The sequence below is a fragment of the Homo sapiens genome, chromosome 1 (genome assembly GCF_000001405.40).
Source record: "Homo sapiens chromosome 1, GRCh38.p14 Primary Assembly".
Lineage (NCBI taxonomy): Eukaryota > Metazoa > Chordata > Mammalia > Primates > Hominidae > Homo > Homo sapiens.
The window spans coordinates 200,889,740-200,917,320 of NC_000001.11; the positions used below are offsets into that span (position 1 = coordinate 200,889,740).

At 53.7% G+C, this 27,581-nt stretch overlaps 1 protein-coding gene across 4 annotated transcripts, besides 10 other annotated features; it reads left to right on the plus strand.

Moving 5' to 3' along the window:
• Positions 1,121–1,949: an enhancer, noted in NCBI's record as "NANOG-H3K27ac-H3K4me1 hESC enhancer chr1:200859988-200860816 (GRCh37/hg19 assembly coordinates)". NCBI's record gives its function as "activates a minimal SCP1, AML or CMV promoter by ChIP-STARR-seq in naive H9 embryonic stem cells {active_cell/tissue: H9 hESC(naive)}" and the evidence as "EXISTENCE:reporter gene assay evidence [ECO:0000049][PMID:30033119]".
• Positions 1,262–1,381: a silencer, noted in NCBI's record as "silent region_1680". NCBI's record gives its function as "represses an Ori minimal core promoter by ATAC-STARR-seq in GM12878 lymphoblastoid cells {active_cell/tissue: GM12878}" and the evidence as "EXISTENCE:reporter gene assay evidence [ECO:0000049][PMID:35858748]".
• Positions 1,392–1,511: a silencer, noted in NCBI's record as "silent region_1681". NCBI's record gives its function as "represses an Ori minimal core promoter by ATAC-STARR-seq in GM12878 lymphoblastoid cells {active_cell/tissue: GM12878}" and the evidence as "EXISTENCE:reporter gene assay evidence [ECO:0000049][PMID:35858748]".
• Positions 1,602–1,896: a silencer, noted in NCBI's record as "tiled region #6069; HepG2 Repressive non-DNase unmatched - State 1:Tss, and K562 Repressive non-DNase unmatched - State 20:ReprD". NCBI's record gives its function as "represses a minimal TATA promoter and a strong SV40 promoter by Sharpr-MPRA in HepG2 and K562 cells {active_cell/tissue: HepG2 | K562}" and the evidence as "EXISTENCE:reporter gene assay evidence [ECO:0000049][PMID:27701403]".
• Positions 1,792–26,003, plus strand: INAVA (innate immunity activator). 4 transcript variants are annotated; one of them, NM_018265.4, is made up of 10 exons: positions 1,792–1,962; positions 8,568–8,716; positions 9,734–9,858; positions 10,365–10,481; positions 11,198–11,420; positions 18,095–18,148; positions 18,991–19,201; positions 19,485–19,658; positions 21,714–22,398; positions 23,798–26,003. In NM_018265.4, exons 1-10 carry the CDS (start codon positions 1,802–1,804, stop codon positions 23,888–23,890), a joined length of 1,992 nt encoding a protein of 663 aa, NP_060735.4. In that variant the 5' UTR covers positions 1,792–1,801; the 3' UTR covers positions 23,891–26,003. The 4 variants fall into 4 exon arrangements, with proteins under 4 accessions (NP_060735.4, NP_001136041.1, NP_001354218.1 ...); NM_001142569.3 differs by lacking the exon at positions 1,792–1,962 and adding an exon at positions 5,161–5,348; NM_001367289.1 differs by lacking the exon at positions 1,792–1,962 and adding an exon at positions 5,161–5,348 and having other exon boundaries at positions 21,714–22,338.
• Positions 5,055–5,565: an enhancer, noted in NCBI's record as "H3K27ac-H3K4me1 hESC enhancer chr1:200863922-200864432 (GRCh37/hg19 assembly coordinates)". NCBI's record gives its function as "activates a minimal SCP1, AML or CMV promoter by ChIP-STARR-seq in naive H9 embryonic stem cells {active_cell/tissue: H9 hESC(naive)}" and the evidence as "EXISTENCE:reporter gene assay evidence [ECO:0000049][PMID:30033119]".
• Positions 5,566–6,077: an enhancer, noted in NCBI's record as "H3K27ac-H3K4me1 hESC enhancer chr1:200864433-200864944 (GRCh37/hg19 assembly coordinates)". NCBI's record gives its function as "activates a minimal SCP1, AML or CMV promoter by ChIP-STARR-seq in naive H9 embryonic stem cells {active_cell/tissue: H9 hESC(naive)}" and the evidence as "EXISTENCE:reporter gene assay evidence [ECO:0000049][PMID:30033119]".
• Positions 6,078–6,588: an enhancer, noted in NCBI's record as "H3K27ac-H3K4me1 hESC enhancer chr1:200864945-200865455 (GRCh37/hg19 assembly coordinates)". NCBI's record gives its function as "activates a minimal SCP1, AML or CMV promoter by ChIP-STARR-seq in naive and primed H9 embryonic stem cells {active_cell/tissue: H9 hESC(naive and primed)}" and the evidence as "EXISTENCE:reporter gene assay evidence [ECO:0000049][PMID:30033119]".
• Positions 7,312–7,899: an enhancer, noted in NCBI's record as "H3K27ac-H3K4me1 hESC enhancer chr1:200866179-200866766 (GRCh37/hg19 assembly coordinates)". NCBI's record gives its function as "activates a minimal SCP1, AML or CMV promoter by ChIP-STARR-seq in primed H9 embryonic stem cells {active_cell/tissue: H9 hESC(primed)}" and the evidence as "EXISTENCE:reporter gene assay evidence [ECO:0000049][PMID:30033119]".
• Positions 7,900–8,489: an enhancer, noted in NCBI's record as "H3K27ac-H3K4me1 hESC enhancer chr1:200866767-200867356 (GRCh37/hg19 assembly coordinates)". NCBI's record gives its function as "activates a minimal SCP1, AML or CMV promoter by ChIP-STARR-seq in primed H9 embryonic stem cells {active_cell/tissue: H9 hESC(primed)}" and the evidence as "EXISTENCE:reporter gene assay evidence [ECO:0000049][PMID:30033119]".
• Positions 16,194–16,313: a silencer, noted in NCBI's record as "silent region_1682". NCBI's record gives its function as "represses an Ori minimal core promoter by ATAC-STARR-seq in GM12878 lymphoblastoid cells {active_cell/tissue: GM12878}" and the evidence as "EXISTENCE:reporter gene assay evidence [ECO:0000049][PMID:35858748]".
• Positions 26,004–27,581: the final 1,578 nt, after the last annotated feature.

Below are 27,581 nucleotides of genomic sequence, written 5' to 3' on the forward strand. Positions count from 1 at the left end.
CCTCATATAATGCCTTTGTACAAATTAGAAAAAGCCACCCTCTCTAGGCAGATACAGCTCTGACCAAACATAGGGCGAGGTGGGTGGAGAATGGTGAACCTTCCCTCTTAGTATAGTGCACAACCTGGACAACCACATGGAGTTGCCTTACTTTTGTTTGTTTGTTTGTTGTGTGTGTGTGTTTTTAATTGAGACAGAGTCTCGCTCTGTCACCCAGGCTGGAGTGCAATGGAGTGATCTTGGCTCACTGCAACCTCTGCTGCATGGGTTCAAGTGATTCTCATGCCTCAGCCTCCTGAGTAACTGGGACTACAGGCTCCCAGCACCATGCTCGCTAATTTTTTTTGTATTTTAAGTAGAGATGGGGTTTTGCCATGTTGCCCAGGCCATTCTTGAACTCCCGACCTCAGGCGATCCGTCCGTATTGGCCTCCGAAAGTGCTGGGATTACAAGCGTGAGCCACCGCGCCTGGCCGTTCGTTGTGGGTTTTTTGTTGTTGTTGTTGTTTTGAGACAAGGTCTTGCCCTGTCTCCCAGGCCGGAGTGTAGTCTCGGGATATTGGCTCACTGCAACCTCCGCCTCCCTGCTCAAGTGATCTTCCCACCTCAGCCTCCCAAGTAGCTGGGACTACAGGTGCGTGCCACCACTCCTGGCCAATTTCTTTATTTTTTGGTAGAGACAGGTTTTCACAATGTTGCCCAGGCTGATCTCCAACTCCTGACCTCAGTCGATCCTCTGGCCTGGGCCTCCCAAAGTGCTGGGATTATAGGCGTGAGCCTCTGCGTCTGGCTGCCCTGCTTCTGGATGAGCCACTGACTGACGAATTAGCCTCGTCTCTCTTCCATGTTCTTTCCCTTTACTCCTTCCTCATCCCAAACCCTAACCTCCCTGCAGCTCCTGGAACCTGCTGTGCTCCCTTGCTGCTGTGCTTTTGTACACCTGTCACTGCTGTTTCAAGTCCCTCTCTTATTTTCTGGTATTGCTTCCTCTGGCCAAGTTTTGCCGAGGCTCAGCCTGGGTCAGCCTTCCCTCTTCTTGCCCGGGGTCCTAGCCCTTACTTCAGGTACTGTGCTGCTTCATCACTCGTCTAGATTGGAGAATCCTCCAGTGAATGGGGCTTGAGCTTTGATCCATCGTGCTGGGCACTAGTAGGTGCTCAATAAATGTTTATTGAACAACTGAAAACCGGGAAGTGAATGAATGGATGAACGGGGACACAGCAGCTCGCAGCGGGCAGCAGGAGGCGCTCGCCGGGAGGGTGCTCCTTCCCTTCAGCCAGCCGGAGTTCAGCCAGCGGGCCCGGCGGGAGGAGTGGGAGTGGGCCGGGGCCAGGGCCGGGGAGAGGGGCCATCCCCGCGCGACCCGCAGCGCCGCACAGCGAGGGGGAGGGCGCCTGCGGGGAGGACAGGGTCGGGGGAGCGCCCTTCCGCAGGCTCCTTTCATTCTTCCACTTAGGGGTCTCCAGGAATGAAAACTGGCCCCAGCCAGGCCAGAGCGCGCGAATGAAAGGCGGCACTGGGACCAAGAGAGAAGCTTCGTCCCGCCTGGGCTGCGGAAACTGGCGGCGCCAGGGGTGTCCCACCGCGCGGGCGTCCGAAAGCGGGGCAAAGGGGACAGCCTCGCCCCTCGAGCGGCTGCTCCCGCAGCTCGCTCACCCCTGCGGGTACGTCGTCACTCCCGCGTGCGGCCCCGTCCCGACTCTTGGATCGGACTCTTCAGTCCCTTCTTGCGTCTTCCCCTCTTTCCTCTGGGCCTTGGTATGCCCCAGGGGACAGATGTCTTGGGATCTTTAACATTTGGGATGCTGCAAATGCCGAAGTTAAATGAAATACCTCCGGGGAGGGCAGGCCGCAGGGAGGCTCGGGGGGAGGGAAGATGGCCTGGACAAACAGGTCCTGAAGCTGCGAGGCTGGAGTGGAGGGCGCAGGGGCAGGCGGGCGGCGCCAGAGCTCCATGGGACAGGTAAGCGGGAAAACTTCGGGGCACCCAGTGCGGGTGAACTGGGGCGGGGGATCGGGCCCCTGAACCCACGGTCTTCAGCCTTAGCGGAGGGTGCCCTACAGGGAATGGGGTAATTTTTTCAAAGGGGCAGGAATTCTGAGTTCCTACCAAAAATGCACATTTCCAGTCCCTCAACCTTTCTCCTTCGACCTTCTTCGTGCCTGTGGATCTTCCTGGCCAGGTTCCGGGAAGCCAGAAAGCAGCCAAACAAAAGGAGCAAAGTCTCGGGCCAGCCTGGATGTGGAGGGCGCAGTGGGGGAGGGGAGCAGGGTGGACAGGACAAAGGGGCTTTTTAGAGAAAGCCTAGAGGTCTCATTTCAGGGCGCATTCCAAGCTGGCTTGGAGTTCCCCTGTCCCAGCCCACTTCACCTTTGCTTAGTGGAGGCGAACACCTTTCCTAGTGAGCAGGGAGCAGACGCGAGTAAGAAAACAGTGAAGGAACCATCTCCTACCCCTCTTGCCTGGAGGGTCCCGGGCTATTTCACTTCTTCCTTTTTTCACTGTTGTCTCTAGCGCTGGCCATTGATTCCTTAATTCTTGAAGTAAGATTTTAGCAGTGCCTGAGACTACTTTGCTGGGGGCTGTTGGGGATGTGAAGATGGTAGGACGAGGCCCTTGCTTTAAAGAACTTCCAATCTGGTGTTATCAGAAGACCCTAAAAGAAGGAACTTTTTTTTAAAAAAAATGGAGAGTGGATGGCTACAGCGCTGGGGAAGAGTTTTCTGACTCGGGACTTTTCCTCAGGAAACGAAAACACTGAAGAGGTCCAGTTTCTCTTCCCTGGGGAAGGGCTCTTGTCTGCAAAGATCAGATTCCAAGTACTATAATGTTTTGCAAGGAAATACCACTTCCTCACCAACTGGTGGTCTGGACGGCACTCTGGGGTTTGGGGCTGGGGCATCAGTCCCCTGACTCCCCGGCCTGACTGGAGTGGGGAGCTGTTTCAGATTCCCAGCTGGCCTCTGGAGTGCCCACCTCCCCCATTGGTATTTTGAATTGAATGACATGGCCATCAGAGAGCTCCAAGGATGGCTCCCCGGGGTTCTTGGCAGGAGGTTTGGTTAGCCAGCTCCCTTCCAAACCTCAGATTCTGCAAGGTTGGGAAATATTGAGCGTGAATTTGGGGGAGCAAGGTGTTTTTGAGAATTCCAAAGGATCAATGCAAACAGTGAGATTGAGCATCTGTACTAACCTCCCCTGAAGTCAGAGATGGAGGATTACCTGAGGGCAGGGATTCTTAACTGGGTTCATTGGCATTAGGCATCTGTAGATGGAATTCAGAGGATGTGTAAACTAGGTGAGGCAAAAAAAGATATCATTGTTTTTCACCAACCTTTAACAGATTTTAACATCACCTTTAGTTATGAAGACAACAAATCACAGTAGCATTGGCAGTACCTGTGACTTTGCCATTAATAGAATTCATAGTTTCATATCACACTGCAGTCACAGCAGTCTTGAAATGTTGTTTACACTCAGCCCTTGTGTGAAATTACCCACTGCTAGACCCTGCTTAATGTTAATAAAGAAGCATATATATTGCTATGTTTTTATATTTTTAGAACTTTATTTCATATAATTGACTTTTTTAGTGATCTTCTTAATTTTATTTTATGCTCAAGAAATGTGAACTGTGAGCCAATTCACAGCTGGTAGAAACTTCCACCAACCCCCACCTGGAGCTGGAGATGGGCAAGGTGGAGGAAGGGCCGCTTATGCCCAGAGTCAACCCCTCTCTGTTTGACTTTGTAAGAAAGTGCCAAGCCTCTATGGGGAGGGACGGTGTGTCACGGAGGACTGGGGAAGGGCAGGGCTGCAGGCTCTTTGGGAGACCCAGAGAACAAGCTCCCAATGGGGCGGGGGGAGGAAGAACTGTCCCCTCTTAGGGCCCCTCAGCCTCAGCCTGGGCAGAAAATGAGGTGGTCAGCCTGGAGCACTCTGGGGCTAGCATTGTTTGGAAAAAGGGTGTGTACAGGAATGTGAAGGTGTGCTGGGTGTGTGTACCGGAGCAGTGGGGGATGCTGGGGGACTCCAGCCCCATGAGTTCCGCTCCACAGGAGATGCCTGGTGAAAGCAAACTTCCTCTGTCATCCCTGCACTTGGGGGTAGGGAGTGGGGACAGGACTTTTTAGGGGCTGGGGGAGGGGAAGCAATCCAGACATGTATTGAGGCACTGGAATCTGGGTCGGGGGAATGGTGGGAAGATCAGAGAGTGGGGGGAAAGGGAGGTGGTAAGATGAAGACTTGAGGGGTGCAGCCTGCTGGGGACAGGCCAGGCAACAGTCAGCGTTAGCTCTGCTTCCGCCTTGAAATAGGCTAGATTCCAGTTTCCCATTTGCTTGGGGGTCGGTGGGATGGGAGATCTTGAGGCTTATTTTTTATAGGAAATAAGTTCCATTTTGGTCTCTGGCTCCTTGCATTTGGGGAGTGGACTTAGGGTCTGGGGTCACAGTGGACCTCCTGTGGAGTAGGAAACAGGACTTGGGCTCAGGTCAGTGCCTGTCAGTGCCCCATGAACATGCGTTGCTGGGGGATGGATGTAAATAATCAACAGAGAAGTGATGGCCTCGATACCCTTGGGGGACAATGTCTGGGATAAAAAGAACAGCCTGATCCTCTCTCTCTAGGATTCTAGAACTTCTGCATATTGGAATTCCAGCTGCCTTGCCTGAGGTTTTAAAATCCTCACTCGGGAGAGATAAAACCCAGGCCTTGGTCTTCATTTCCATATGTGGGGAAGAGCAGTGACCCATCCCTGTCAGTTTGTAAATGTCCTGCTTGTTTTTTCCATGGACAGTGGACATTTCACCTTGCTTCCGGGGTGCTTAACAGGCCTCAATTTCTGGAAAGAGAAACTGAGGTCAAAGGAAGGCAGGGAGAGCCAGGGTCAGGACAGGAGGGCACGCAGGTACCTCACAGCTCAGAATGTTGTACTAGGGTCTCTTGAGGCCATGAAGACATGACTCTTGTTGTTGTCTTCTTTGGGGATTCCTCCATGGGAGCCCCTTTTTCCCTGCTACCCTCCTGCCCCCCGGAAGTGCAGAGGCCCAGGAGCTGCCTGCTGGCACCAGTTGCACGGGATTAGTTCAGGGAAGGACTTGCTCACCTGCTCCTCCCCTCTGACTCAAGTCATAACAAGTAACCTGGTTCCCCTGGCCCGGCAGCCTGGGAGGGACGGCAAGGTAGGCAGGTGAGCCGAGACGGACGGACGGCCAGCAGCTCCGTCAGCTGGAGAGAGAGCACAGGCCTGTGGCTTGGGAGACCCTGAGGCGACATGTGAGGGCCCTGAGCCCCCTGACTGGAAGCAGGGGCTGTTTTTCAACTCCTGGACTAAAGCCCAGAAGCAGGTGAGGGCGGGGGAGGTGGAATGGGTCTTTGGGGCTGAGAGCAGGCTGGCCTGGGAGTGGAGGAGCCCAAGCAGTGGCCATCACCCCCCTCCGACCCCCACCCCCGCCAGCCTATGTCTGGTGTGTAGGGATGACAGAGGGGTGCTGGTGGGCTTGGACGGGAGCCTGTTCTTGTGGTTGCCTAGGCCTTAGTTTCCACCAGAGGGAGAGCAAGCAGAGATGAGCTGGGACAGGCAGGCCTGAGACCTGGCTTTGGGGGACACACTTGGGATAGAGGAGGATCCCCCATGGCCCGGCCTGAGGGAAGGTGCTCTGGAGTTTCCCTCCCTCCCTCTGTGCCCCTTCTGGTCTCCTCTGCCTTTTTCTGGGGACATTGTTCAGCCGGGTGGGCTGCTTTTTAGGGCCCAGTACTGGAGCTTGAAGAGGCCCAGGAGGGATCCCTGTGTTAGGGAGGGGGTGGGGATGTTACCTGAACTGCCTTTATCTAAAAGCAATGCCTTAGACACTTAAGACTCATAGCCTCCTGGGTGGGGGTGGTGCCCTCGCTCTCACCTGTTGACTCTGGGGCAGGTTCCCTACAGCTGTGGAGGGCGGCCTCGGCAGAGGCAGATGTGAGGGTCCGCTATGTGGCTGTACGGGTTTCCTTCTTGGCCTGACATTGACCAAGAGGTCGAGATTCAGACCGGGGACCTGGAAAGGCTTTAGACACTGTGCAGTCTTTATTGTGCACAGGAGGAAAGGAAGCCCCGGGAGGCCTGGTGACTTCCCCAAGGTAGTACAGACCGCAGCAGAACCAAGCCTTGAGCCCACAGCCAGGGGCTCTGGGCATCTGACGCTGTTCTCTTTGCTCTACTTGGGGCAGCAAGTCATCCCAGAGAGGACCCAGCATCAGGCTGGGACCACTGGGAAGATCAGTGCCTCCCCTTTGATGCTGGCAGTCAGAGACTGGGCTGAGCTGGGAGAAGGGGAAGCTGGCGGAGACGGGAGGCGTGCTAAGGTACCCCTCTGTCCCTGTAAGTCCCCACTCCTCTGCAACAGTCTCAGAGCCCCTGAGAAGCAGGGGCTGAGTTGGCCCAACTTTCCAAGGCAACTACTTAGTGGTTAATAATTAATTAGCAAGCGTGACTAATTAATGGCTTCCCCTCCCACATTACTTCCTCCTCTGTGCAAAGCAGACACACTCAGCATGCTAGCTGAGACCACCTTGCTTCCTACCTCTGGCTGCACCCTGCTCTTGGCTTCTGGGGAGGGTGGGAGGATGGCTAGGGTGGGTGGGAAGGGGTGGGGGTGAGCTGCCTGCTCCTCTGTCCTGTTCTTATCTCTACGAGGGATAGAGTTTGGGACAGATGGACAGTGCAGAGCTAATAGTCATCCTAAGTATCCTGCGGGGTGGGGTTCCAGAATATATGGCCAATCTTTCAGAACTTTGGCATGTTTGCAAAGGCCTCCCATAAAGTTAAAAAAAATAATTCTCCCATGCATTCTCTAGACTTCCTTGAATAATTGAAATTCCAAAGTGCAAGGTACATGTTGCTTTCAGGGCTTTGTGTTTGATTGTTGCTGCCTGTGGTTGCTGTGTTGTTTATGTAGGTCTATAAAAGTTCTTGATCGTCCTGCTCTTATCATCTTGATGGGTGGAGAGGTATCACCAGGGACCTGGCTGACAGCAGTCCCCTCTCCCTGTTGGCCTTGCTTTGTTACCAGCTTTCCCAAGGCCGACTTTTCTGTCGTGTTGGCTGCCTGAGGAGGGGTGGAGCTCACCTCCCCCACCCTGCGGCCCCGCGCTCTGAGGAGGCAGGATAGGCTCCAGACAGAAACTCGGAAGGACTTTTGGACTCTTGCTCAATGGGCTGACTCAGTGAGGAGGTGGCTGAGCTCTCTTTCCAGACCCAACCACCTGCATGGGCTCCGCCCACCCCTCCCACCCCTGCTGCAGCCAGCAGCTGCCAGGCCCTGGCCAGCTGGGACCCCAACCAGGGGTGTGGGTTGGTGAGGAGGGAGAGGGGGTGGGCACAGGTGTTATCTGGGTGACTGGTCCCTAGCTGAGCCGACACAATGGGATGGCACCTGTACCACCCAAGTGTTCTCCACCCCGAAGCAGGCAGAGGAGCAGGTGATCTCCTTTCTGTCCTTGCACAGCTTCTGCTCTAGTCACTGCTTGCCCCTCTCCTGTCAACTCTTGGCAACCCTGATAGACACAGCCCTGGGTCTCCCCTGGCTGTGGGGTGTAGGGGATCTAGGCTGATTCCCCTTCAGTGGTCTCCCAGGAGTAATTGATGGCTTGAAAGTTGTTTGAGGGCTTTGGGACAGCTCTCTGGCATACAGTGGCTGCACATATCTGCAGATGATGTGAAGTTCAGAGTCCAGGGCGCCAATTCAGAGAGTGGGCGTCCTGGACTTCGGAGGCCCCAGACCAGGGCCTTGGCCATGTGCCTGCCCACTTCTTGAAGTGTCCTCAGCCACTGGGGCGTAGGACATGCCTCACACCTCCTGGGTTCTTGGGTTGAGGATAGCTGTGTCCCATAAAGATGTCTTCCCCTTCCTCCTTTCTTTTTTTTTTGGAGACGGGGTCTCTCTGTTGTCCAGGCTGGAGTGCAATGGCGTGAACATGGCTCACTGCAGCCTTGACTTCTCCAGGCTCAGGCAATCCTCCTGCCTCAGCCTCCTGAGTAGCTGGGACTACAGGTGCACACCACTATGCCCAGCTAAGTTTCATTTTGGAGAGATGGGGTCTAAGTTGTCCAGGCTGGTCTTGAACTCCTGGGCTCAAGCTATCCTTCTGCCTTGGTCTCCAGAAATGCTGGGATTACAGGCGTGAGCCACCATGCTGGGCTTCCTTCCTCCTTTCTTTGTTATCCCATCCCATTTTTTGTCCCCTTCCTTTTTATCCTGTCTCTGCTCTTTTCCTTCTTGCCCTTCTCCCCAGTCGAGCGGTTCTTGTGGCTACCACAGCTGTCGACCCCCTTAGGCCTAGAGGACTTTGGCCCAGAGGGGAGTTAGGCTGGGCCCCTGAGAGCCCACTGAGAACAGGGTTTGCTGGTGAGGCCCACAGCCCCTTCTCTAGGTCAGCACCCCCAGTGCCAGAATCTCCTGCCCCAGATGGTTCCTGAAGCACAGTCCTCCCTTCCACTCCCCTGCTCTCAAGCATCTATTCAGCTTTTTGTAACCAAGATGGTTCATATCTAGCTTTTTTGTTATTGTTCTCTTTTCTCTTTAAAGCTGGGGAAGCTCCAGGCTACCTACACAACCTGGCCCAGGCTGGTCACGGTGTCCCCCCTCCCTGCTCTGTGCCCTCTCCTTCCAGAAATCCACCATGGAGAGTAAGGATGAGGTCAGCGACACCGACAGTGGCATCATCCTGCAGTCTGGTGAGTGTTCAGGGAAATCCCCCTGCCCTAGTCCCTAGTCCCTGGTCCCTGGTCCCTGGCCCTGACTCCTGAGTCCTGAGCCCTCAGGCACTAGGGCTGGCTGGGCTGAGACTCCCAAGGGCTGAGAGGAAGGGGAGGGAGAGGCCTCTGCTGGGAGGAGGGGGAGGTTCTGGAAGGGCTGGAGCCTCAGGGACATGTGGAGTTTTCCTCCCTGGAGAAAACTGGCTTGGAGTTTTGGTTCTATCTGGAAGAGGGATCTGCAATGTTCAACTTTAGCCCCAGCTGAGAAGTTGAAAAATCTCAGGCAGGCACAGTGGCTCATGCCTGTAATCCCAGCACTTTGGGAGGCCAAGGTGGGCGGATCACAAGGTCAGGAGATCGAGACCATCCTGGCTACCACATAGTCCCAGCTATGTGGGAGGCTGAGGCAGAAGAATCGTTTGAACCTGGGAGGCGGAGGTTGCAGTGAGCCGAGATCGCGGCATTGCACTCCAGCCTGGGCGACAGGGCAAGACTCCGTCTCAAAAAAAATATATCATCTGGCCAATGTGAAGGTCTTGCCTCTCTGTTTGGCCAGACCTGTGGGCCTAGTCTGGCCTAGTCTTGACAGAGGACAAGAAAGAAGAGGCTTATGTGTGTGTGCAAGAGAGAGGGGTAGTGGGGAGAGGGAGAGAGAGAGACAGGAAGAAGAAGGAGAAGGAAAAGAGGAAGAAGAAGGGAGGAGGAGTGGGGGGAGGACTGCACCGGCAGAACTCCCTCCCCTGCACTCCCCCACCATAGGTCACCTGGTGGGACGACCCTCCCTTCTGAGTTGTAACATTTGTGCAGCCAAGAGACGTGGTGTTTTGTGGCTGTGACACAGGCCACAGCAGCCAGCCTGCAATTTGTGGGCAGGCATGAGATGTGTGTGTGTGTGTGCATGTGTGTGCATGTGCATTCCCCTAGGGGTGGTCAATAAGTAACGGAGGAGGCTTCCATCTTCAGCCTCCCTGAGCATGTGCCCCCCAACCCTTGCAGGCCCCGACAGCCCGGTCTCCCCAATGAAGGAGCTGACCCATGCAGTGCACAAGCAGCAGAGGGCCCTGGAAGCGAGGCTGGAGGCCTGCCTGGAGGAGCTGAGGAGACTCTGCCTTCGGGAAGCGGTGAGGCCCCAGCCAGCACACACAAGCATCGGGTTCATCTCAGGAGCTGTGGAGCCACGTGTGGGGATGCGGGAGCTGGGGAGAGGGAGCCCCATTCTTGAGGGAATTCTGGACATCAGGCTGGGGGCTGGGGCCCAGAGTCCCCATGATGCAGTGTTTGACCTTGTGCTGGATGGAGAAGAGTCAGACCCAGGCAGGGGCCCAGGCACAGAGAACAAAGTTCATCAGGGGCTGCAGAGGGACTGCACAGACATAAGTGCATATGAGTGCTGTAACCCGGGTCGGTGTAGCTCTGGAGGAAGTGATCAGAAAGAGGTCTGAAGGGAAAGGGGAGGAGTGCAGAGTGGGTCTGAAGACAGGAGAGACAGTGTGGAGGATGGGATGAGGTGGGGTGGAGGGTGGTCCCACCAGGGCTTCTATGGAAGGCAGGCACATGCAGTGCAGGGGCCAGTGAGCCAAGTCTGGGCAGGTGGAGAGGACCTGGCTGGTCTCTGCTTCCTCCCCAGGAGCTGACGGGCACCTTGCCAGCGGAGTATCCCCTCAAACCAGGGGAAAAGGCCCCCAAGGTTCGCCGCAGGATCGGAGCGGCTTACAAACTGGATGACTGGGCCTTGCACAGAGAGGTGAGGAACCTCAGGAAGCTGCCAGTACCCCTCGATCCCCAAAGCTGATCACTGAGACGCCACACCTCAGCTCAGTACCCTGGCAGGTTCCCTTCCACCCTTTCACACCCAGTGAGGGTGCTTGGCTGCCTGTTGGTGAGAGACACCATGAATATGTAGCCCAAATGGCTGTGGAGAAGGGGCGCCACTAAGGAACCGAGAGCTGGGAGCTCAAGGGAGGACACTGGGTTTGACCCCATTGGGCAGAAGATCAGTTAAGAGCACCAGCCACCAACCCAGCGGGCAATAGCCTGCTCAGACAGGTTACTCTGGCCCCTAGGGCTGTCCTCCTTTCTCAGGAGGAGGTGGGGGCAGTCAGGCCCTGGGTGCCCTTCCCCTGTGGCGTCAATGGCAGCAGTTTCCCATGGGCCAGCCTGCCCCACCCTTTGGGGTCAGGAGGGAAAGTGTCCCACTTGGGTTCCCACCCTGCCCGGTTCAGCAGGTGGGCTGGTGGGTGGGTGCCCATGCCAGCTTTTCAGGCTGACAAGTTTGCTTTTCGGCTCCTCCCACTCCTTCACCCTCTGCTCCACGTCCGTCCATTGGTGCTGCTGTCTGCCTCTCTTCTGTCCTCAGGGCTTAGGACTGGGACCTAGAGCACTGTGTCAGGGCTGCTGTCCACCCTCTGGGCCCCCAATCTCCCTGCCTCTCTCTAGCCTCACTCCTGCCCCCTCTCTCAGGACCCCCTAAGCAGCCTGGAGCGCCAGCTGGCCCTGCAGCTGCAGATCACAGAGGCAGCCCGTCGGCTGTGCCTGGAGGAGAACCTCAGCAGGCAGGCTCGGCGGCAGCGGAAGCACTCCATGCTGCAGGAGGAGAAGAAGCTGCAGGAGCTCCAGCGCTGCCTGGTCGAGCGGCGGCGCAATAGCGAGCCACCTCCGGCTGCTGCTCTCCCCCTGGGCCGAGGTGAGCCGGCTGCCCTGAGGGGGGCCATGCTCCTTAAATGAGCTTTTGAGGGATGGTGGGCGCACAGCCCCGTGCCACTGCCTTTGCATTTGGCTCCAGCTGGGTAAAGCTGATTCTTGGGTTCAGCTCCACCCCATCCTGATTCTCTCCAACTCCAGCAAGGCTTCCCCATCCTGTGAGGTCTTCTTCTCCGTCTCCTTAGAAAACACCCTACTCTCTCCTTCCGTATCCTCCTCAAAATACACTACCTTCAAGAGACTTCCTACACAGAGATATTTCTCAGCTGACCCTGAGCTGAATCCAAGGTGTATTCAACTGGGTAGCCCAGGCTGGCCCCGCTGCCCTCCAGGCCCACAGGGTGATGGCATCTCTGGGTCAGGGTAGTGTGAGGCTCCCGTGAGCCCAAGGCTCTGAGTTGATGTGTAGTCCCCTGGCCTGAGTTAGGCAGCAAAGGGTTTGACGATTGCTATGTGTTACTGATCACTGAATTGTTTCAGGGGCCCACAGCTACTTAGGAGATGTTCAGGTTGAAATCCAGCAGGACTGGTGCCACACCCCACAGCCCCTTAAGTATCTACAACCACCCTGGTCAAGGGTGGGATCCTTCCATGTCTGTTCTCTGCCCTCCTTGTGTCTGTAGTTCAATCCCTGAGCTCCTTGGCCCAGAGACTAGTGGCCGTGGGGGCACCTAGTGAGTTGTTGATGCCCAGGTGCTGCCACATCACATCAGTGTGTCCACCACAGGTTAGCTTCCAACAGGTGGTTCTGAGCCCTTAGGTGTGACTGTTTTCCTTTGTCCTGACCCAAGGCCAGCCTGTCAGGTCAGGACTTGCATCTCTCCATTCCAAACCCCACCGCAGCAGGCCCATGACTCAGCTCTGCCCCCCGTCTCTCACATGGGACCCAGACCTCCCTGGCTGCCTCAGAGGGAACCGGGAGGGAATGAGGCCGTGGCCCTGCAAAAAAAAATCCAGAATTGGATTCAGAGGTCTCGGCCTTCATTCACATTCTCAGGCTCCCATCCCTGCATATCGTGTTGGCTTTTTGCCAAGACTACTCCTCAGCCTGGGAGCAGTCATGGGGAAGCTGGAAAGCCCTTGCTAGTCCCTGTGCCCTGCAGCCTATGCCTCAGGCAGGGAGTTATCTCAGCACAGGTCTCAGAAGTCCCTGCTCCTATCCATGGCTTTTAATTTAGGGTAGAAAGTGCATGACCAGACACCACCCAGGTCACCTCCCGCAGCCAAGAGTAGGTGATAAAGGAGGAGGTGCCTCCATGTGACAGTTAACCCAGTAAACTCAGAAGACAGTGGGGCTGACCCAGGGAAAATGGCCAGACCTCTGTCCGGTTCCAGTGGTTCTGGCTTGGCCGCAGAACAACACTCCCAGTCTCTGAGGCTCTAATGGAAGACAAGTTCTACAACCTTACTCCACTCTCAACAGGGATCCCAGGACTTGACAGCAACCTTGAAAGGTAGCTGCTGAATTGGACATGGAAGCCCCTAAGGGCCAACTTGCTCTGTGCCTGCAGGGAGAGGTCAGGGTGGTGAGATATGCCCGTTGGTTGCAGCGCCTCCTGCTCCCCGGTCCAGCCTCACACTGCTCAGCAGCCTCCCCTGCCCACCGGGGCTGCCATTGCTGGGAGCTTCTGCCCATGATGGGTGGCAGGGGAGTGTCACCCTGATGCTGCCATTGTGACCCATAATGCTTCTTGTTGGGAGTCGGGAGCAGGCCAGGACTGGCCTGGGGCTCTGTGGAAGGCAGGAGGATGAGGTTCTGAAACCTTGGAGCCCTCAGTACAGGTGAAGACAGAGCTGTGGAGAGGAGACAACTGGTGTAGTTGCTGACTTTCCCACATCAGGAATCAAGATCCCACTGGCCAACTTCAGGCCCTGGGATCTAAAGTCCTGTTGTGAGAGCACAGAAGGGATCAGTTCTAGACAAGTAATTTCTGTTTTGTGGCTCCTCTGCCCAGCCGAGCCCTCCTAGAAAGGAGGAAGTAAAGCAGAATTATTAGTAGCTGAGGTGTTTTGAATTAAAAAGGGAAGGCCGGACACTGTGGCTCATGCCTGTAATCCCAATACTTTTGGAAGCCAAGGTGGGCGGATCATGAGGTTAGGAGTTCAAGACCAGCCTGGCCAACATAGTGAAACCCCATCTCTACTAAAAATACAAAAATTAGCCAGACATGGTGGTGCATGTCTGTAGTCCCAGCTACTCGGGAGGCTGAGCCAGGAGAATCCCTTGAACCTGGGAGGTGGAGCCCAGGATCAAGGGAGCCGAGATCGTGCCACTGCACTCCAGCCTGGCAACAGAGTGAGACTTTGTCTCAAAAACAAAAAACAAAACAAAACAAAAAAACAGGAGGCCAGGTGCAGTGGCTCACACCTGTAATCCCAGCACTTTGGGAGGCCGAGGCGGGTGGATCACTTGAGGTCGGGAGTTCAAGACCAGTCTGACCAACATGGAGAAACCCCATCTCTACTAAAAATACAAAATTAGCCAGGCATGGTGGCGCATGCCTGTAATCCCAGCTACTCGGGAGGCTAAGGCAGGATAATCACTTGAACCCAGGAGGCGGAGGTTGCGGTGAGCCGAGATTGCACCATTGCACTCCAGCCTGGTGACAAGAGCGAAACTCTGTCTCAAAAAAAAAAAAAAAAAAAAGGGAAAAAAGCAAACAACCCAAAAACCGAAATAAAAAACCACCCTGCCCCCTTGGGCTCCATACAAGGGTAATTTAGTTTGGGAAAGTAACTGCTAGGTGAGAGTCATCAGCCATACTTTGCAGTGGCAGGGAGCAGTCAGGTGTTGAGCTCATTTACTAGAGTGAACCGCATGAGGGCCACCCAGCACCCACCTGTGCAATGTAATAGGCACTCTGGATGCATCTGTTGATCAACAACACCAGCCATTAGCCACATCCTCATAACATTTTTTTTTTTTTTTTGAGACGGAGTCTTGCTCTCTCATCCAGGCTGGAGTGCAGTGGAGCCATCTCAGCTCACTGCAACCTCCACCTACCGGGTTTAAGCGATTCTCCTGCCTCAGCCTCCTGAGTAGCTGGGACTGCAGATGCGTGCTGCCACGCCCAGCTAATTTTTGTATTTTTAGTAGAGATGGGGTTTCACCAAATTGTCCAAGCTAGTCTCGAACTCCTGACCTCAAGGGATCCTCCCGCCTTGGCCTCCCAAGTGGTGGGATTACAGGCGTGAGCCACTGCGCCTGGCCGCTCATAGCATTTCTGAGATGGTGGAAGTGTTCTGTATCTGTGCTGTCCAATACAGTAGCCACTCGCTGCATGTGGCTATGGAGCATTTGAACTGTGCCTAGTGTGACTGAGGAACTGACTTTATTTAGTTTTAATGAAAATAGCCACATGCGGCTAGTGGCAACTGTGTTGGACAGCATAGCCTTGGGGGAAGCTCAGCATTTGTGAGTAAAATCTCCACCGTTACCCCTCTGTCTGGGGTGTCCTGCGATGCTGCTGCGGGGCAGGGGAACGCTGAGCTAGGGCAGGGTTGGGACAGTTGCTGAGATAGTGAGCAGCTCTCAGAAACCTGAATCTTTTTTTTTTTTTTTCCAATCTTTTTAGAGACAGGGTCTTGTTCTGTTGCTCAGGCTGGAGTGCAGTAGTGTGATCATACCTCACTGCAGCCTTGAACTCCTGGGCTCAAGTGATCTTCCTTCCTCAGCCTCTAGTAGCTGGGACTACAGTCATGTGCCACCACACCCAGCAAATTAAAACAAAACAAAACAAAAAAACTATTTTAGAGATGGGATCTTGCTATATTGCCCAGGCTGGTCTCAAACTCCTGGTCTTAAGCAAACCTCCTGCCTCAGCCTCTGGAGTAACTAAGATTATAGGTGTGCCTGGCCCAATGAAAATCTTTATTCCTAAGGTTTTTATAAAAGATCAAAGGCAGGAGACCAGAATTCAGTAAGAGGGGGTCTCTTTAATTGAACCCTAAAGCAAAGGCTACTTGTGAGCCAAGCAAAGCATGGGCTGGCTGGCTACTCAGGAGTCAAGCCCAGCTCCTGGTACCGTATGTCCTAGAAATCTACTGCCTGCTCTGGGTAAAGATTTTTTCATTAAATTGCGGAGCAGGCTGAGCATGTTGGCTCAAGCTTGTAATCCCAGCACTTTGGGAGGCCAAGGCAGGAGGATCTCTTGGGCCCAGGAGTATGAGACCTGCCTGGACCACACAGGGAGACCCTGTCTCTACAAATAACTAAAATAAAAAAATTGGATAGGCATGGTTGTGGACACCTATAGTCCCAGCTACTCAGGAGTCTGAGGTGGGAGATTGATTGAGCTCAGGAGGTCAAGGCTGCAGTGAGCTGTGATCGGGCCACTGCACTCCAGCCTAGGCAACATTGTAACAACCCATCTTTAAAAAGATGGGTTAAACCTTTGTGGAGCAAAGGTTAACAAACTTTTCCATAAAGAGCCAGACAGTACATATTTTAGTCTTTGTAGGCTCTTTGGTCTTTATCACAACTGTTCAACTCTGCTACTTCAGTGCTAAAACAGCCAGACATTACATAAACAAATTCATAGCCGTGTTCCAATAAACATTTATTTACAAAAGCAGCTATTGAACTGGATTTGACCCCTGGGCCATAGTTTGCTAACCTCTGTTGTAAGGGATTTCAAGATGGTTGGAACTTTTTACTTTTTTTGAAACTTCCTGGGCAATGCCCATGCATTTGAGATGCAAGCTCACAGGGGAGAGCCCATAAAGGGTTGTGGTTAAGAGCAGACTCCAGTCAGACTGTCTGGGTGTGAATTCTGACTCAACCACCTTTGTTGAATGTATAACCTAAACCACGTTACTCAACTCCTCTGAGACGTGGTTTCCTCAACTGTCACTTGCAGGTGATAATATCTACCTTACGTGGTTGTTATGAGAATTACCTGAATTAATATATATAAAGTGCTGTATTTAGAAATGTATTGGCACAGTAGAAACATTAGCAATTATTACTTTTTCCTCATCTTCATTCTCAAACACAGTTGAAAATGTTTCGTGAGTTCCATCCAGGTCACTTTAGGCTTATTCTCAAGATCTGAAGGCCTGGCCGGGTGTGGTGGCTCACGCCTGTGATCCCAGCACTTTGGGAAGCCGAGGTGGGTGGATCACCTGAGGTCAGGAGTTCAAGACCAGCCTGGCCAACCTGGCAAAACCCCGTCTCTACTAAAAATACAAAAATTAGCCAGGCATAGTGGTGTGTGCCTGTAATCCCAGCTACTCGGGAGGCTGAGGCAGGAGAATCGCTTGAACCTGGGAGGTGGAGGTTGCAGTGAGTCGAGATCACACCACTGCTCTCCAGCCTGGGTAAGAGAATGAGACTCCATCTCAAAAAAAAAAAAAAAAAAAATCTGAAGGCTTAAGTTTCTTCAAAAGCAATAGCACAAATGAGTTCCCTCTGATTTCTTAGGTAAAAAGTGCTGCTATACCATGAAGTAAAGTCACACTGAATTTCCTTCAGGTGACTTGCCAGATCACCAACTGAAGAAACTTCCCTGGGGCCAGCTGGCCAGACCTTATCTTAAATTCAAATTCCTACCTTGCGTTCCTCTTGTTGTTGGTAACACAGGAGGTCTCACATTGGGATCTTTGAATTGTGTTTGTGATGTGAGATGATTATACAAAAGTTAGAGTGAAATTCCCTTTTTTTTATTTGAGACAGGGTCTCACTCTGTTGCCCAGGCTGGAGTGCGGTGGTGTGATCACGGCTCACTGCAGCCTCGACCTCCCAGGCTCAAGTGATCTTCCCATCTCAGGTTCCCAAGTAGCTGGGACTACAGGCATGCACCATCATGCCTGGCTAATTTTCGTATTTTTTGTAGAGACCAGATTTCACCATCTTGCCCAGGTGGGTCTTGAACTCCTGGGCTTAAGCCATCTGCTGCCTTGGCCTCCTAAAATGCTGGGATTACAGGCATGAACCACCGCGCCTGGCCATGAAATTCTTTTTATCCTAAGGGCCTTCCAAAATGACCCTTTGTCTTTCCTTTCCACTACCAAGAAGCCCTGCCAGAGGACACCCTTTTTCTTTTTTTTTGACAGGTGGGGAAACTGAGGTCTAGAGCATTGAAATGGTTTATTCAAGGTTGCATAGCTAGTATCAGAGTCAGGATTAAAATCAGGTTTCCTGTCTCCTAGCTCTGCCTTCTATTTTTTTCTACTTCCATGTAGTAAGTTTACAGCCAGGCCAGGCACAGTGGCTCATGCCTATAATCCCAGCACTTTGGGAGGCCAAGGTGGGATGATCACTTGAGCCTAGGAGTTCAAGATCAGCCTGGGCAAGACAGCAAGACCTCTTCTCTACAAAAAAAATAAAATAATTTAGCTGGGTGTGCTGGCATGCCCCTGTGGTCTCAGCTACTTGTGAGGCTGAGGTGGGAGGATCCCTTGAGCCTGGGAGGTCAAGGCTGCAGTGAGCCATGATCACACCACTGCACTCCAGCCTGGGCCACAGGGTAAGACCCTGTCTCTTAAAAAAAAAAAAAATCACTCCCAATGTGTATTTAGCACACAGAGGGTATTTCCTCATAACTGATGCTGTCCTGGGGGAGTGATCAGGCCTGAGCTGCTCAGCACTGCTGGTTACTCATATCTGTTTGTTCATTTCTTCACTTCCTTCTCTTCTCTCCCCTTTGTCTTTCGCAGAGCTCAGTGCCTCTGATGACAGCTCCCTGTCAGATGGGCTCCTCCTGGAGGAAGGTGAGAAGGACGTTTGGGGGACTATTGTCAAGGCTGGACTCCTACTGCAAGACCATGGGGTTTGGGCAGTTTGCTGGTGTGGAATTTAAGTGGGAGTGAAGGCTAGGGTGCCAGGCTTAGGGTTTCCGCTTGGACTTCATGTCAATTTCCGCATGTCCTTGCACATGCTCAGTTGAAGATGGGGAATGTGCGATCATCTCCCATTCTGGAAGCTCATTATTTTTACAGGGAAAGGAAAGGTGAACTCCAAGAGAGCTGATCAACCCCAGATGTCCCTCCTTCACCCTTGGGTGTGATTTCAAGATGCACCAGTCAGAGCCAAAGAGCAATCTGCCCACAATCATTGCTGTTTTTTAAAAGAAGGGAGCAGGAAGGAAACACAAGTCTATAGATTAAGAACCCTGTGTACAAACCATGAGGATGCCAGGGTCAAGGTGGATCGAGAAGCTGTTGCAGTCCTGCCCAGGGGAGTGCCCAAGCCAATAAGGAAATAAATAGGCCATATGGGCATGGCAGGAACAAGAAAAATAGGTAAACAAAAGATAACTGCAGACATGGTACCAGGAACAAAGGTTAGAAAGTGGAGCACTGTAAGCCCAAGAGAGTCAATCTGGGAGGCTTCTTGAAGGAGGAAGGCATAAAATAGGGCTGTGTGGGAAGAAGTAAGTCCCAAAGGAGAAGAAAACATGTTTGAGCATCTAGGGCTGGAGCCATGGCCTGCAGCAGCTGCACAAGCCAGCATGGGAGGGAGAGCGGCGAGGCATGGGCTGTGGTTTGTGGAGGTTCTTGTTGGGCCGGTTCCCCCAGCCTCTGGCCTTACCAGGTTTCTTTTACTCCTGCAGAGGAATCCCAAGTGCCAAAACCTCCTCCAGAGTCTCCAGCCCCACCTTCTCGGCCTCTCCCACCCCAAACCCTTGAGGGTCTGCAGCCAACAGGACCTGAGGCTGGGAGCCCAGAACGGGCTCCAGTCCAGAACAGCCCCTGGAAGGAAACCAGCCTGGACCACCCCTATGAGAAGCCCAGGAAGTCTTCTGAGCCCTGGAGCGAGTCCAGGTCAGGATCAGGGGGAAGGGAGAAGGGCAGGGCAGGGCAGGGAGTCGGTGGGAGCTATGCTGGGGATGGCTATAGGCTGGGCAGATGGAAAAGTGGAAAGGTGGAGGAGAGAGCTCCTGCAGTCGTGGGATGGAGGTGTGAGCCTTGATAGTTCCCCAAGGGTGCTGGCAGTTTGCCCTACTAACTTTGGGAGCCCCTTCCACTGCATCCCCATTCTTCTGCACCTCTTGAGCCCCTGAATGGAGGCATTCCTGCCACTGACCTGTCTCTAATCCTTTTGCAGCAGCCCAGCCACCACACCACAGGATGGGCCCAGTGCCTCCAGCCTGTGGCTTCTGGAGCCTGCCTCCTACCACGTGGTTCCCATCCGTGGTGTTCCTGGCCAGTGGCAGGGCCGCACCAGTGCCCCAGCCACCCCTGAGATACAGGGGAGGAGGGGCCAGTCGCAGTCTCTGAGGTAAGAGACAGCTTCCCCAGAGAGATGGGGGACCCACTTAGAGCTTATCGTTGGAGGGTGGGAGCTCCCAGGACACAGGTGGGACAACCCTGGGTGACACATGGCTAGTGCCTTGACTTCTCTTAGGATCTCTTCTTGGGGCGCCTCTTGACAGAGAATGCACTGCACCCCACTAAGCCAAAGGCCATCCATGAAGCAAGTGGTTTTCTTCCAAAGACTCTAGTTTTGTCTTTTTGCATAACTTGATTCAAATTTTCTACCCTTGCCATGTTTCCTTGTGCTGGTAGATTATTATTGGTCACTGACAATAGGCAACTCACTTTTTCAATTGATGCACAGTTGATTCTCATTATCTGTGGTAGTTATGTTCTATAAAGTAAAATTGACGCAAATCCTGAATTAGCAAATACTGAACCCTTGCCCCTGGGGAAATATAGGGTTAGGTTCCCGTGAGCCTTTGGTCACGACATTTTGCATCAACTGATTAATATATAACCTTATGTTATGTGAGTTTCTGCTTAAGGACACCTTACTTAATATGGGTTGTTGATTCATTAACTCATGGCCAACAGCACTGTAACTCATACCCAGATGAAGCTTACCTAGCACACATATTTTCTCCACAAGGCACACCACAGCCTTTTCCCAGTATGCCTTAGGGAGGAACAGTAGACAGCACTTTGGCACTGTATTTGGGGGCATTTTAAACAGCAGAATCACTAATCAAAGCAAAAACACACACAGTACATAAATATGCCACAAAAAGGACACTGTGCACTTACAGCATGAGAACTGAAACATGAGGGCAGAACATGGCCTCGTTTAACCTCAGAACTTAAAGAGACTCAAATTTGTCACTTTTCTGCAGTGTCCAAGAATGACCATGAAAGCACTGTGTATATTGCTTTGGGGATTAAAAATAAAGTTTAGCAACTAGGAAAATTACAAATACTGAATCTGCAAATAATGAGAATTGACTGTATGTTACTTTCTAAGTCATCTGCTACTTGGTAATAGTTTAAATGGCTAAGCGTTGACAGGCAGTATTGGCCATACCATATGGGGACTGGGGCACCATGAAAGCACTGCTGAATTCTCCATCAGCTTAAATTGGCTGGTCAGGCAGCACTGAACTGGGGGCAGCTTGGGACAACTGCTCTCAAGTAAAGCAATGGATTTTGTTTAATTTTTAAATTTTTTTTGAGGCAGAGTCTTGCTCTGTCATCCAGCCTAGAGTATAGTGGCGCAATCTTTGCTCACTGCAACCTCCGCCTCTCAGGTTCAAGCGATTCTCCTGCCTCAGCCTCCTGAGTAGCTAGGATTACAGGCGTCCGCCACCACACAGCAATAGATTTTATATTTTACATGCTACGAGGGCCATTTTACAAACCATGCCTTTGTGCAAATTAGGAAAAGGCAGACACAGCCCCATACCTGGGTGCATTAGTAGAGTGAAGTGAAGGCTGGATTTCAGCCCCTGCCGGTCTTGGGCTGCAGGTAACTGCTCTGGGTACCACATGACAGCTTTTACACGTTCAAGTAAGGTACCTGGCAGTGCCTACCGAACAGATGCTGTGGATGATCTGCCACTGGACACGGTGTACCTAAGCTGAAAGTACTTAATGTAGTACTTTAAAAAAAGTAGTTAATGTAGTACTTTAAAAAAAGTAGTTAATGTAGTACTTTAAAAAAAGTACTTAATGTAGTACTTTAAAAAAGTACTTAATGTAGTACTTTAAAAAAAGTACTTAATGTAGTACTTTAAAAAAAGTACTTAATGTGCTACTTGATGTAGCACACTTTACACGAATCACAAGCTTGTGAATGCAGCAGGAACACTTTTGCACACAGGGAAGGAATGCGTTGGCACCCACGCAGCCCGGCAGAGGGTTTGTTGGTTTGCTTTGGGAGACTTGACCTAAGACCCTTGCACGAGGGCCATGCTTGGGCCTTGAGGTAGAGCAGGACTCACCTGTTTTAACTCCACCTCCCGCCCCAACCCCAGTGTGGAGTTTCTGCCCCCCACACTCAGAATGCCTCTCTTTCCCTCTTCAGGGTGGATTCCTTCCGGGCGGGTCCTGAGGGCCGAGGTCGCAGCGCCTTTCCCCGCCGCCGCCCCACTCACTACACGGTGACAGTGCCAGATTCCTGCTTTCCCGCGACCAAGCCCCCGCTGCCCCACGCCGCCTGCCACTCCTGCTCAGAAGACAGTGGCTCTGACGTCTCCAGCATCTCCCACCCCACTTCGCCGGGCAGCAGCAGCCCCGACATCTCCTTTCTGCAGCCTCTCTCCCCTCCCAAGACCCATCGTCACCGCGGGGCCTGGGTCCCAGCCGGCAGCAGAGAGCTGGTCGCCCACCACCCCAAGCTACTGCTGCCGCCTGGCTATTTCCCGGCGGGGCGGTACGTGGTGGTGGCTGAGAGCCCCCTGCCGCCTGGCGAGTGGGAGCTGCGCCGCGCAGCCCCGGGCCCTGCTTACGAGGAGGAGGGCACTCCCCTGCGCTACCAGCGTCTGGTGCCCTCCCGCAGCCGCATCGTGCGGACGCCCTCCCTGAAGGACAGCCCGGCAGGCCGGGGGCTCAGCAAGGCCGCCGTGTCCGAGGAGCTCAAGTGGTGGCACGAGCGTGCACGCCTCCGGAGCACCCGCCCCCACTCACTGGACCGCCAAGGAGCTTTCCGGGTCAGGAGCCTGCCCCTTGGGAGAGAGGGCTTCGGACGAGCCCTGGGACCCCGGGCACAGGTACGGCTGCTCTGGAGGGACCCCGGGGCCAGGCAGGAGGGCTGTTTTGTTGGGGAGGGGCTGCAATTCTAGTATGTCCAAGGGTACAGAGGCATCAAAGCAGCAACCTAGTGGCCGGGTAATCCCCGTCTAGGAAGAACAGGCCAAAAAATCATTTCCTCTTGGCTTTGGAAGGCACTCTTGGCTTCCCTGGGGCACCTCCTAATTTTGCCTGCCATGTCTAGCTCAAGAGCATATACACTGGTGGAGATGATCCCCGAAGATAGCTGAGACTTTTTCTCTCCCTAAATGATGATGCACAAAGCAGATAAGCCTCTTCATAATCAAAAGTCCAGTCCAAATCAGCCCCTCAGATTTCCATTTGAAGGTCTAGGACAAAGGGAGAGTAGGAAATGAGTTGCAGAAGCCAGAACCTGTGATTTTCTGGGCATCAGCATCCTCCCTGACACCCCTCCTCACCACCAAGCCGAGAAGAAGGGTGGCATCAGAGTTAAGAGCACCCACCCTCAAGCTAGACCACCAGGTTCAAATCCCAGTTCTGCCACTTACGAGCTGTATGATTGGGCAAGTTACTTAACCCCTTTGGACCTAGTGTTTCCTCCCCTGTGAAATGAGAGTAGTAGAGTACCTATCTCATAGGGCTGCCAAGAGGCTGAAATGATTAGAGCAATGCATGGTAAGCGCTAGATATGTGATATTATTATCATCTGGGGCCACAGAGGCCAGGGAGCAGGCTGGAGGGTAGTATATAGGATAGAGCACCCTGACACTGGGTAGGGTGGCAGCCTTGGTTTCCTTGGCCCCTATTTCTTCATTCTGGAAGTGGGGAGCCACACACAGGAATCCTTTCTTTATTCTTTCTCCCTGGTACGGAGGGCTCTGCAGGTGATGTGCTCCAGAAGTTACCAACAAGCTGCTTCTTTGAGACCCCAGATTCCCAGCAGACCCAGCTGCGTGTCCCTCCCCCACCCACGGTTCTTTGGACTGCAGCTGGCATCCTGGGCCTGGCAGCACCCTGGCCCCGGTCCGAGGCCGCGCCCTCCAGCTGACGTGCTTTTCCCTTTCTGCGCGCTTGGGCCTGTCCTTGGCTGGATAGACCCAGCCCATCCCAACGTGCCAGACAGGGAGGGTGATGAGAAGTGAGCCCAGGAAAGGTGGGGGAGGAGGAGGTCAGGGCGCCTGTCACACCCCAAAAGAACATGGAGGAAAATGTGTAAAGGGGGTCCCTGAAGAACAGAGAGCATCCTGGGAGGAAGGGGCTGAGTGCCAGGGCCTGCTGCTGCTGCTGCTTCTGCTGGTCAGTGTCCCTAAGGGATAAGGATGGTGTAACTGTGCCTGCTGTCCCCGCTTTTCTGCCTGGTTCATTTACCCACCTGTCCTTTCTTCCTGACCCTGGCAGGTGCCCACAGTTTGTGTGCTGCGGAGATCGCCTGATGGGGCCCCTGTGCAAGTCTTTGTACCTGAAAAAGGAGAGATCATCAGCCAGGTGTAACTCTGCGCCCCACGCTGGAAAAAACTGTTTCATAGAGGGGCTGGGCTGAGACCCCCCCACCCCTGAGTGCCTCTTTCAGCTCCCCCATCCCCATCGCAGGCCGATGACCTGGAGCTGAGACCTTTTATTATTTTTTTTTTACACGACTTTTTTCAGAAGCCCTGACCTAAGGATTTATATATGTGGATTGTCCTCAATACCCCTGTGATATGATTATGTTTTATCCCCCAGAGTTTGGCCTACTGGACTTAAGGCCTTGCCTGTCTGACTGACAGCCTCTATCTCCTTATATAAGACAAGTGGCAGGGGACGAGTGAAGCAGAGTGAGCCACCTTGGGAGTTCTCCAACGCTCTGTGCTCTGGTTCTAAGAAATTCCCTGGGGAACTGCCCCTGGCCCTCCTGTCCCACTATTGCTGGAGGCTGGACATGGTACATACTCATGCACATGACTCTCCCCCATTTCCCAGGTCTCTGGGTACCCCAGCCTGGGCTGGGGGAGAATCTCTTCCCCCTTTTCTAATGTGCTCTGTGATGCACACACCAAGTGGTAGGTCAAAGGTCAGTATATCCCGGTGGTGTATTGTCTTGCTAGACCCTGCTATTTTCCTGACCCCCTAAATCCTCTTTAGGGACCCAGTCACTATACCCTGTCTATGCCCTGTGGGCTCCCAGACCCCTGAGCTTTGAGTCAGTGGCATCACAGTTTGTAGCCTCAGGGGGTCTGGCTGGGGGCTGGTCCATGCTTGTGGTTAGTGGACAGCAGCCACCCTTTGACAGCTACCTCTGGGCATCTCAAGGGCTTGCAGCCCCACTGCTCCTTCTAACATTTTGTTTGTTTTTGAGATGGAGTCTCGCTCTGTCGCCCAGGCTGGAATGCTGTAGCAAGATTTCGGCTCACTGCAACCCCCGTCTCCCGGGTTCAAGCGAATCTCCTGCCTCAGCCTTCCGAGTAGCTGGGATTACAGGCAAGCACCACCATGCCTGCTAATTTTTTATTTTTAGTAGAGATGGGGTTTCATCATGTTGGCCAGGCTGGTCTCGAACTCCTGACCTCAAGTGATCCACCTGCCTTGGCCTTTCAAAGTGCTGGGATTACAGGCATGAGCCACCGCACCTGGCCCTTCTAACGTTTTTTCATCATAGTCCCAAAAACCAATACTTTACAAGTGGTTTTGGAAAGGCACCACTTTTGTGGCATGTTCTGGTTGGGAGAGGGAGTCACAGTTCCTACTCCCCCCACCAGCTATGCTTCTGCTCTGAGAAGGTGGTTATTTATACAAACATGGACATACTCACTCCCAAGGGCTGATGAGATGCTGAATTTTCTTTGGGGGCATTCATTAATTGTCCCAGCTGCAGCGACTGGAGCAAGTCTGGAAGCTGCCTGTGCTAAGACCACCCAGCTGTCCCTGGGTTCTCATCCTAGGGCCTTCTTTGCTTCCAGGTCAGGGGACCTGCTTCAATGAGAAAGCAACTGAATTGAGGCTAGGAGAGGTAGGGAGAGCTGAGTTCTGACTTCACCTGTGCAGAACTCTCTGCCCCCATGTTACCTGGACTGGAACAGACTGTGAATATAGCAGAAGGTTCCAAGAACTCTGGTGTCTGACCTAGAAGAGGCACAGTTCTCTCTACTGGAAAGAAAACGATGTAGCCGATTGCACAAGGGTGCCAAGGGAAGACCCAGGATGGCCCATCAAAGGAACCTGGGGGAGGATGCAGGAGGCTGAAGGGATGCACCTGGCATTTCTCTCACTGTGCTCTTACCGCATCAGCAACCCCCAACTTTTGGGCCTACTCTGCCCCCCATGCGTGAATACCCTGCTTGGATGCTGTGCTTTTCCGGTTTGTCTCTAAGCCCCTTTCTCCAGGGCATGTTGGTTTCCCTGGCCTCTCAGTGTCCTAACTGGAGCCCAGAGTGCCTTGTTCTGAGCCAGGAGACGGCTGAGCACTGGCCCTCCACACCTAAGCGTCCTTTACATTAACTTATTGGTCTTGTATAACACCTGGTGCCATTGCCAAGTGGCTGTGTCCTCAGCTACAGAGCTGGAATTGTGTGGGGTTTAGTGCTAAATACTTCAATAAAGTCTGTTTTTTGTGATTGGCTGAGCTGGGGATGAGGGATTTTTTATTTTTATTTATTTTTATTTTTTGGTGTGTGTGTGTGTGTGTGTGTGTGTGTGTGTGCGCGCGCGCGCGCGCCAGGTTTCCCCGAGCAGAGGCTGAGCCCGGCCCCCTGGGCTGCCCGCCAAGGTGGCCAAGTTGCCCGGCCCCTCCAGCTGGTCTGGCCAGGTCCCTGGGGAGCTGGTGTGATGGGTTGGGTGGTAGAGGGAGGCTCTCAGATTCTCTGCTTCCGGGGCAGGGTGGAAGCCAGCACAACCCCTGTCAAGGCTCCTTACAGCCTCTTCAGCTTGAGGAGCTGGCCTGTGGGAGTCACTTCCCCAAGGACAGGGCACTGGCCAGGCAGAGGGTAGAGATGGGTGGCTCAGCGCCTCCAAGCCATTCCTGGAGCTTTGACTGCCCGGAGCCCAGGCTCATGAGAAACAGCCCCTTCCCCATACCTGGAAGACTGGGACCCCTCCTTGGGGTGGTGAGGAGGCGGGGCTCTCCGCAGGCCCCTCCCCCATCGGCAAGAGTGCCCACAGCCCCTCCGCTGCCTGGGGTCCCACTGAGGCCAGGGGCGGGGAGCGCCACCTTGGACACTTCCGTGCTTGCCCTGCAGGGACCGCTCCAGGGCCCCGGAGCACAGCGCCCCCTGGAGAGGCTGTGCCCGGACCTGAGGCGCCGGCGTGTCAGGTAAAGGGGTCCCCCTTCCCGCCAGTTCCCTCCACAGCCAAGGAAGGGGCGGGGAAGGGCCCCGGCCCTCGCTGCCCAAGGGGCGCCTCCAGCCTTGCCTGGGTGCGGCCCTGGGGGCCGCGGGGATCTGTGGGCCTCAGGGGTCTGGGGCACTCCATTCTTGGGGAAGGTAGGGGAGGGGAGACGGCTCCAGGGTCTCTGGAGAAGTTGTGGGGTATCCTGATCTCAGACCTGAGCGCTTCGACCTATTATTTGTGGGGAATGGGGCGCTGGATTCTGTATTTTAGACGATGGTGAGTTAGGCCCGGGGAAAACAGGGTGAGCAAGTTCCCAGGGGATGACCTGTCCAAGGGGCAGCTCCCAACAACAGGACAGAGACCAGCTAAGAGGGGGGATACAAAAGAGACGGACACAGGGGCAGAGCAAGGCCCTTTAAGGCAGTGAGCGATGGGACGCGCCCGTTTGGGGACCCGAAGTGCAGGGCGGTGAGAGAACCAGGTTGCACAGCAGTTTCTTCCTGGTCCACCAGCAGGCTTCCCTGGGCCATGTCTGGGAGGGGCAGACATGTGGGGGCTCTTAGCTCCCCTACCATAGGGCAGAAGTAAGGTTATGAATTAGGGGGTGGGGACAGAAGCCTCTGGGAAGAGGGGACCTCGGGATTTTAGCAGCAAGACTCCCAGAGGCAATTTGGCCTGGAGGCAGAGGGATGGCCACTGTGACCTAGGAGCCCACCTGTGAGTCTGAGATTCTCTATGCTGGAAGATCCCAGAATGGAAGACTACTAGGCAAATCAGGAGGGACCAGGGCCCTTCAGAGGGTCCCGAATCTTCCCATGGGGAAGAAATGGGAAGCTGACCCTGGAACCCGGCACTGGCCCTACTCAACCAATTCCTTTTG